Source organism: Homo sapiens, chromosome 5 (assembly GCF_000001405.40).
Source record: "Homo sapiens chromosome 5, GRCh38.p14 Primary Assembly".
NCBI classification, from domain to species: Eukaryota; Metazoa; Chordata; class Mammalia; order Primates; family Hominidae; genus Homo; species Homo sapiens.
This window is the reverse complement of record NC_000005.10, coordinates 25,331,315-25,341,304: the sequence shown is the minus strand read 5'-3', so window position 1 is coordinate 25,341,304 and position 9,990 is coordinate 25,331,315.

Genomic DNA, 9,990 nt, shown 5'->3' with positions numbered 1-9,990 from the left:
CTGTGTCAGCCATTTCTAACTGGTTATTGATTAGGGTTATTCCACCCACCTTGCTGCTAATGGTTACAGGATTCCATTGGCCTCTGAGCGCACAGCTTCCAATCATTTTCTTGTTATTAGGTATGCAATTTCTATAACAGAATATACTTCTGTAAGCACTGCACTACACAGATCAGCCACCAATCACATTCTCAATGCTTTTGTTTCCTCATTGCCACCATAACACAGTGTCCTCCTGTGCCCAGGAAACACAGTCAGCTGGTGGGTTTCAGATTTTATACAGTAGAGTCATTCTTTTAAGGCCAGTTCTCTGAACTTCTTGACCCATCTTCCACAGTCTTCCACAGGGCTTCTGAAAACTCTGCTTCATTTCATAGGGACTGTTTCTTTAAGTCTCTAAAATGCATCCTTGAAGAATATTATACCTGGCCCCTCATTCTCTTGTTAGCAATTTAAATAATGTGATATAAAAGAGTGACTCTTTTTGACAGACTCGTTCAGTTATAGATTAACTTTTAAATCCCTGGATTCAGAACCATTCCTATGAATATGCTCCATGTTTGTGCCAGTACATATTATTCAGGTTCAGCAGCTACTTTACTATGTAACTCCATTCTTCCTTTAGGCAGGTTCATTGATTTCCCTGCTAAGTCAGACTGAGTTTTCACCCTAATTAGTGGTTTCATTGCCAGGAGTATAACTGGGGCATATAATTAAAAGGGCAAGCATTATCTTGTATGATACTGCCTCATTTGAAGCTTCTGCCTAGTCTTCAAGCAAGCGAAGCAGAGGGCTCTTTCATCTAACGAAGAATGGGCTGTTCCTGCAGATCCATGCCTTTGGAGGATTTTGGGCCTTCCCGTTTCTCAGTCATCGGCTATGATATATTTCAGGTTCTTACTTCTTCTCTGTTCAGGGCCCAGACTTTGGCATAGTAGATTTGCAAAGCTAAAAAATTCAGCCTTTACTGATGTTCTGCTTCTCATAAATAGGACCTGTGTGTGGTGTTCAGCCATTCAACTACAGTAGACGAGGACTTTTTGCTGATCAGGAGGACTTGTGGGTGCCACATTTTTCTTTGCATGCATGATGAATTTCTTTGAGTCTAACATTTTTCTCTTTCAGAATATTACTGGTGCTCAGTAACAGTCAATTGATTGCATGGTCCTAATAATTACTACTACCTATATATCTCTAGTCCCAGCAGTATCATAAATATCATACAAATCAGTACATTCCATTCTGTGTATCTCATCCTAGTTCAACACAGGTGCACATCTTAATGTTTCTACAGCTACAGAATACCAGGGAATATCGATGTTGTACCTACCTCAGTGAAAGTGGCTTTAGTTTTATCCAGCTGGTGAGTGAGCTAAATCCATCAACTCATCTTTAGCATTTCTTCTCTGGGATCGTATATCAAAGGCATCCTTGATCATATCTTTTACTCACTTTTCAGAACTAAACTACGAGCTAATCGTATCAGCCTTATCTTCAAAATGTATCCAGAATCCACCTTAGGTAGTCATTCCTGAAAACAGAGGCTGAAGTAAGGAATCTGGTGTGCATGATTTTCTGAGAAAATGCGCTTCTGGAGAAACCTGTACTTTTTAAGCCCGTATTTTCAGCTGTTGCAAAAGCTTGCAGATGATTACATCTACAGGTCAAGGGAATCAGGTAGAATACCATAAATTCCCACTATAATCAACAAACTCAATCAAACCTATAGATATGAATGCTATGAAAACTTTCACTCATTATTCATGGGAAATTAATACAATCTTCCGTATTGTCTTATACATTTCTTAGAGATGCAACCTTTTGTCTCTGACTTTTCCCTCACTATCTTTGCTTTTTCTTGTTTGGTTTCTCTTTCTTGCTTTTCTTCCAACATCACAATGTGATAAGGTCACAACACTGGGGAAACCTACTCATCACTTATCCATTTGTACTACCCGAGCATGAAATAATAGCCGCTTTTGTATTTATAAAAAATATTTGCATTACAGTTACTGGAGATACTCCCCAGCTTTCCAGTCAGTTGTTTTGTTCTTTGCCATGCAATTTCATCTGGTTTCATGGCTTTAAATATTATATATGCTTAAAAAAACCCAGCTTTATAATTCCACATCTCATTGCTCCCATAAACCCATATCCTTGTATTCAACTCCCTTCTCATGAACACCTCCAACTGGACATCCAAAGAAATTTCAAAACATACTCTTTACCTACCTCCCCCAACACTCCTGCTACATATATTTTCTATGTAAGTAAAGTTTAATTCCTTTATTCCAGGTTTTTAGCCTCAAAACTTGGAGTCATCTTGATTTTCTTCTGTCACCTCCTAACATACAATACATCAGCAAATGTAGTTGCTTTGCCTATCAAACAATAGGAAAAACTTGAACATTTCTCACCACCTCTGCAGTGATCCAAGTCAATATTATCCATCTCCAGGAATACCTCGTAATCACTAACCAACCCTTCTGCTTCCACACTCAACTCTTCCCAGATTGTGTCACTCCTCTATTCTATAGCCCATAATGACATCCTACCTATCTCATTAAAAGTGAAACAAATACATTTTTAGGAGACAAGGTCTTGCTTTGTCTTCCAGGCTGGAATGCAGTGGCACAATCACAACTCACTGTAACTTCTAGCTTCTGAGATCAAGGGATCCTCCTGCCTCAGCCTCCCAAGGGGCTGGAATTATAGGTGTGAACCACTGCACCCAGCCCTCAAAAGCACATTTTGTAACAGACTACAGGCTTTGCGTGATAGACGTTCAATGTGATTAACAGATAATAAATCTAGCATCATGATTTATTTGTTACTTGCAACCCAGGGAACAAGTTTTTTGCAGGGTCTACAATTTCTTGTCTTCATATGTGTAATGTGGAATACATAATTTTACAAAGTAACTACATTGTATTTAAAAAATATATTTATGACCCAAGTTCAACATTGAAATCACATTTAAAGAGAAAATAACAAAACTACCAGTAATTAAGCATTTACATTGAGTCCTTTCAGAAGCCAGCTTCTATTCAACAAAGAAAACAATAATACATTCAAAGCCAAAAAATGTGAGGATTTTTTCTCTTTTATTTTTCCTACTATATTTCTTCCTTTTATCAAATCAGTCGCTATTTGACCAATGTTGCATGTATTGTCAAGTTTACATTAGACCCCAATAAATATCTCCCAATTCCTAAGTAATAGCCTGTAACCTTTCTCTCCCAGCATTTACTATATTACCACTAATAACACATTTTGAAGTTTCAAAAATTTCCAAAGAAAATGAGTCTTAGAAATTTGCTCAAAAGTAGAATACACACAAGTAATATGGCTGAAATTTTAACTTAGAAACTTCATTTGGATCTGGAGCCTGTAACCTGGATTATAATCTTATGCTGACTTTCAAGAACTGAGATGACCAATGGCCATGTGATGATGATCATGACGATAATGATGATGATGATGTGTTTCTGTTTCTCTTATTTTGTGTAGAGCCACTAACCAGTTTTTGAAAGTTTTTAGGAAAAAATCAGTCATTTCAAATTCTTTTTGAAGGAAAATTTGAAGGAAAACACTCCAGTAAGGTGTTTTCAAGTGCAAGCAATATTAAACTCTAGTTCATCTGCTTATTCAATTAAAAATATCTGTAATCTAAAAGGTAAGATATACAGGTCCTGAGTTCAGGGCCTATTTCTATGTTATGATTCCTGCTAGTGACTCTGTCCTGCCTTCTTTTGAATCTTTATCTTCAGGGTAATTTTCCTCATTGTCACAAAGAATCTATCAGCAGCATCCCAGCATCTGAGGTCATACACTTTATCTTTTCTACCTGTGGGAGATTGAGGAAGGCACTTCCCCTATTAAGGGAACAAAATCTTTCAGTTTGAATAGGCCAGCTTAGGTCACATGCCGTTTCTGGATCAATAACAGTCATCAGGAGAATACTAGGTGAGCTTTGGTTGAAAGTCTGTATTCCTGTAATAAGTATTTGGAGTGAGAGTGGGTGGATGTGATAGATATTATTCATTTAATGTGTATTTATTTAGAGCTTTTTGCATGCTGGGGAATGTTGTTTATGTTGGATACATAACAACAATCAAAATTGACAAAATCTCTGCCATCAAAGAGCTTTTCAAACAGGTAGACAAATAAACAAGGCATGTTAATATATAATAGGAAATATAAAATTCATATGCTACACACAATATACTACGGAATGTCTTACATGCACACACGCATGTGCACACTCACACACATGCGTCAAACCCATGTAGAAAAGTAAAACAACTATGCAGACTTAGGTGAGGTGACCCTTGAGCAGAGATCTGAGTGAATTTATTTTTTCATAATAAATAACAGTGCTCTTAAATTCATATGGAAATAGTAAGAGTCAATACAAATTAGGAAAATTCTGAGAAAGGGAAAGCAATAGGTGTGGCAAAAGTTGCCCGACTAGATATCAGTGCTATTTTAAAGCTATAAAATATAAGTAAGTGTGATGTTGCCTCAGGGATAAACAAATAGAGCATTTAAAGAGAATATAGAAATTTATTGACATAATAACAAAGTCAGTTTTGGCACTCCAAGTGAGGAGGAGGAGAGATGGTTCAATAAACACTGCTTGGGAAAATAACTTTTTAAAAACTTTTAAAAAACCTTTATTTTATATTACAAATAAACAAAAATTTCCAATGGATTAAGCGCAACAAATAATATTTTTTAATTTTAGAAAAACTAATATATCAGATTTTCCTTTTTAAATCAGATCATGATGATTTGTTAAAAACAATAAAGTTTTATAAAATTGATTTAGTTACTGATGGACCTTCATTAGGTTAGAGAAAATTGACTTTTTGATTTGTTATGTCTCCTTTTACATACACATGGTACACATTCTCTATTTATGAAGTATTCTTGCAGGTGCTTTCTAGAGTTTTATTTTTTTCTATTAAAAACTTATGCTTTATATTATGTGATGTGTTATATATTATTTCCAGATATATCCTATTTTTTCTATCGTTTGGATTCTTTCTGTCTTAAAAAAAAAAAAATAGGCTGGGTGTGGTGGCTCACACCTGTAATTCCAGTACTTTTGGAGGCCTAGGTGGGGGGATCACCTGAGGTCAGGAGTTCAAATCAGCCTGGCCAACACGATGAAACCCCATCTCTAGTAAAAATACCAACAGGAGCTAGACGTGGTGGTACATGCCTGTAATCCCAGCTACTTGGGAGGCTGAGAATCACTTGAATCCAGGAGACGGAAGTTGCAGTGAGCCAAGATTGTACCACTGCACTCCAGCCTGAGTGACAGAGTGAGACTCCATCTCCAATAAATAAATAAATAAATAAATAAATAAATAAATAAATAAATAAATAAAAATAGAGACAGTGTCTCCTTCTGTTGCCCAGGCTAGAATGTAGTGGTGCCATCATAGTTCACTGACACTTGGAACTCCTGGGCTCTGTGATTGGCTAGGACTACAGGAACACACCACCATGCCTGGCTAATTTTTAGAAGTTTTGGTGGAGATGGGAACTTCCTATATTCCCCAGGCTGGTCTCAAACTCTTGGCCTTAACCAATCCTCCTGTCTTGGTCTCCCAAAGTGCTGGGGTTACAAGCCTGACTCTACCTCATTTTTTATTTTATTTTCAGTGTGGATTTTGCTTGGTATGGGGAAAACTACTCAATTCCTTTGATAGGTTGCATCTATATGTGCAGCTTATTATAATAATCTACATCTTAATTTCTACCTTCTCTCTCACATGCCTTTGTCTTGTTTTATGGCAATAGTCATTGTATTGAGCAAGGCAGGCTGAAAGTTTCCCTTAGCTTGACTAAATATTTAGACAGTTTTTTGTTTGTTTGTTTTTTTGTTTGTTTGTTTGTTTGTTTTAACCTGGACTATAGGCCTCTGAATTTCATCTTTATAGAGGATTTTCTTTAGAAAACGTTGTAAATTTTTTCTCTGCCTCTTTGAGATATAAGCATTTTTAAAAGTCTCTTGCCAGTTTCACATCCCAGGAATGTCCTTCTCATGGACCTTCAGGCCATCCCTTTAAAAGGTTATCATTAGGAAAGATAGAGCCCCTGTTTTCCAGTCATTGTGAGACTGCAGGGGCCTAACTTCCATAGGGGCCAATTATCAAACACAGATGGCTTAATCACAAAGACCAACACCACCCCCACACCAACCCAAAGCCCTCCAGTACCTTTTCATTCACTCACTCATGCTCAGAAACTCTTCTGCTTGCCTTTTGCAATGGTCTTGAATAAAATCTCCGTTGCCTATTGTATTAGTCAGGGTTCTCTAGAAGGACAGAGCTAATAGTATAGATGTATATATGAAAGGGAGTTTATTAAGGAGAACTGACTCACACAATCACAAGGTAAATATCCACAATAGGCTGTCTGCAAGTTGAGGAGCAAGGAAAGCAGTGGTAGATCAGTCCAAGTCCCCAAGGAAGGGAAGCCAACAGTGCAGCCTTCAATCTGTGGCCAAAGGCCTGAGACCCCCTGGCACACCACTGTTGTAAGTCCAAGAGTCCAAAAACAGAAGAACTTGCAATCTGATGTTCGAGGGCAGGAAGCATGCAGCGTGGGAGAAAGATGAAGTCTGGAAGACTCAGCAAGTCTAGTCTTCCCGTTCTTCTGTCTGCTTTATTCTAGCCATGCTGGCAGCTGATTAAATGATTCCCACCCAGACTGACGGTGGTTCTGCCTCTCCCAGTCCACTGACTCGAATGTTAATCTCCTTTGACAACACCCTTTCAGACACCCCCAGGAACAATACTTTGTATCCTTCAATCCAATTAAGTTGACACTCAGTATTAACCGTCACATCTATTTAACTGCTCAGTTCAATTCTCTTTTACCATATCCATTATTAAGTTGAACAGAAGAACTTATACTAATGGGAAAATTTTCTAGGAGGAAAGGGTTTTATATGTTTTAAAATTTTGGTTAAATAAACTTGTAAATATCATTTGTGGTATAATTGTTTTTTATTCTTTGTATATGTGGGAACTTTTGATTAATAGTTTATTTTTATTAATACATAATTCTACATATTTATGGGTTATGGTGATATTTTGATACATGCATACCATGTGTAGGAATTAAATCTGAGTTACTGGAACATTCATTACGTCAAACATTTATTATTCCTTTGTGACAAAAACATTTTAAATCTTCTAGCTACTTTGAAATATGTAATATATTATTGTTAACTGTAGTCACCCTACTGTGCTATTGAACACAAGAATTAAATCTTATCTATCGGTATGTTTGTATCCATTAACTAGCATCTATTCATCCCACCCCTTCATCCTTCCCAGCCTCTGGTAACTATCATCGTACTACTCTCTACATCCAGATTAATTTTTTTAGGTCCCAGATATCAGTGAGAATATGCAAATTTTGTCCTTCTATGCCTTGCTTATTTCACTTAGCATAATAGCCTCTAGTTCCAGCCATGTTGCTGCATATAACAGAATTTCATCGTTTTTTATGGCTGAATGGTACTCCTTATTTTATACCACATTTTAAAAATTCATTAATCCATCGATGGACATTTAGGTTGATTCCACACCTAGGCTACTGTGAATAGAGCTGCAAGAAACATGAGGGTTGCAGGTATCATTTTTATGCACTGATTTCCTTAAAATTGTATTTTTAAATGGATATTGTTCTATTCAATCATCAAACTGCAATTGATTGCTTAGAAATCTTTGCATATATGTGAAAGCCCTTTGACTGGAGTGGGTATTAAGGAAGTGGACTATCAATTATTTTCATATACAAACAAAATGTTAAAATAAAGGTTCTGAATACATATTTAGGATCCCTACAATAATATTACTTCTTACTAAAGTTAAATATTATAGTGTTCAATATTATACAGAAGGGAAATATGTGAAACAATATTTTTATTATTATATAGTAATCCTGTTATTAGATTAAATTGTATAATCTGATTCTGTGAGTTTCATTAAAATATATTAATATAAAAGTGTAGGAATTAATTTTGTTTAAAAGGTTTCATTATTCTTAAATCAATTAGACTATTTTTGTGGCTTTGGGAATAAAAATTCAACAACCTTTTGAAAAGTTTTTGAGTATAACTTGTCTATTTTATTGGTGTTAAATGAAAATATGTAAGTTTGGAATAGAATTGAAAAACAGTCTTGTGGAAAGTTGATGTTGATGTTTTTCTTTCTTCACTAATCTCCCTGAGAGTACTGATTATGCCAAAAGTGTAGGTTTCACTATAAAACCCATATGAGTTAATGTGAAAAAGAATTGGTGGAAGTGTGTTAACAATACCAAAACCCTTGATAATACAAAAGTTCTTTCTTTCAACATGAAGTTCAAAGGAGATCTTAAACGTAATTATATGTTCATTAATAAATGCAATATAAAATATATTGCCACAAGTTTCTTTCAATAAGTCTTTATTTAGGGGTGAATTTTGGTGGGAGGGGTCAAGGGCATCTTTGACTTTCAATATTTACATTAAATACTCAGTTTAAGGTCCAAGCTTCCTCTATGCTAGAGAAAAAGGACCAAAAGAGAAAAGCATTTTTTAGTTTCTCCATTATTCTGTTTAGCTTTCTAGTAGAGGAAATTAAATTATCAGCAGCAATATGAAAATAACTGCATTTGAACAGAGTACATTCTATTGTCTGTGCAGGACTGGTGCTCAAGATAAATAATTATAGCTTTAAAATAAAACAACTCATTTAGTAAGTTATATTTATGTATCACTTATGTCTCAGGAACTGTTTAAAACTAGATGTGTGTGTGTGTGTGTGTGTGTGTGTTCATCACTCTTCTCAACATTACTATGCAGTAGGTAGTGTAATTTCCCTAATTTACAAGTTACAAAGACAGAATATACATGCCTTGTCATTTGGCTATGAGACATGCAGATAAAATACCTCTAAAACTCATTAAAAACAATGAATTAACACTGCATTTTCATCATCATTTATCCCAAATTCTTATACATGAACTAAAAATATACATTTATCAAATGTCTACTGTGAATCAGGCCCTTATAGGTATCCATGTGTCTATCTATGTATATAGATATAGATAAATAGAGGTAAAATAGAACTACTTGCTTTCACAGAATTTAAATTAACGTGTAATCTGTTTAAGGGGAAGACACAAAAACCAGCACCTACAAATATACAGTGTGAAACTATTAATGCTCGGGGAGTTGCTTCACCAGCCAGAAATCTCTGTGGCCAGTGGTGCATTTGCCGAGTTTTGCTCTAGCCTGCTGGGTTTGTTCCACCCACTTGGCCTGGCAGGCTGCATTCAGCTTCTGCTACTGGTCTGAATCCCATACCTGCCAAGGGCAAGCCAGGCATGGAGTGGACAGGGATGTGTGACTGAGCGTGGGGTCTGGCCACTGCACACAGGTTGCGATGGGGTGGGCAGCTCCAGGCACCAACATGGGTGCCAGCTCACTACAAGTCTGGAGCTGGACTGTGCATACTGTTAGCAGCTTCCATGGCTGGCACTGGGGAATGTGGTGTAGCACTCAGAAGCTTAGAGATGCCAGGAACCACAGAGCCCTAAAGAGCATGTCACAGCCCTGGCTCAGGGACCTCCTAGGTCTAGGCTCCCTGATAGGCTGCAGCTCTTCTCTCTTCTCTCCTTCTGTGGCCTGCAATATGGCATGCAAGGAGCGTGTTTCAGCCCTGTCTGTGTTACAGCTCTTTTAGTCCCACCATTTGGCAGGTCCCCAGTTATTGTCTTGCATCTAGGAAGAATGAGGTACACAGACAAGTGGAGGGTGTGTAAGATGAAGAGGAACTTTATTGAGCTCCTCTCAGAGGAGATCTGCAGTAAGCAGCTCCTCTCCACAACCAGGTGGTCCCAATGAGTGTTAGGCTCTCAGCAGAGAGGGTAGTTCCTTTCTGCAGCTGGTCATCCCATTGTCTTCTCTGCTGTCAGGAGAGA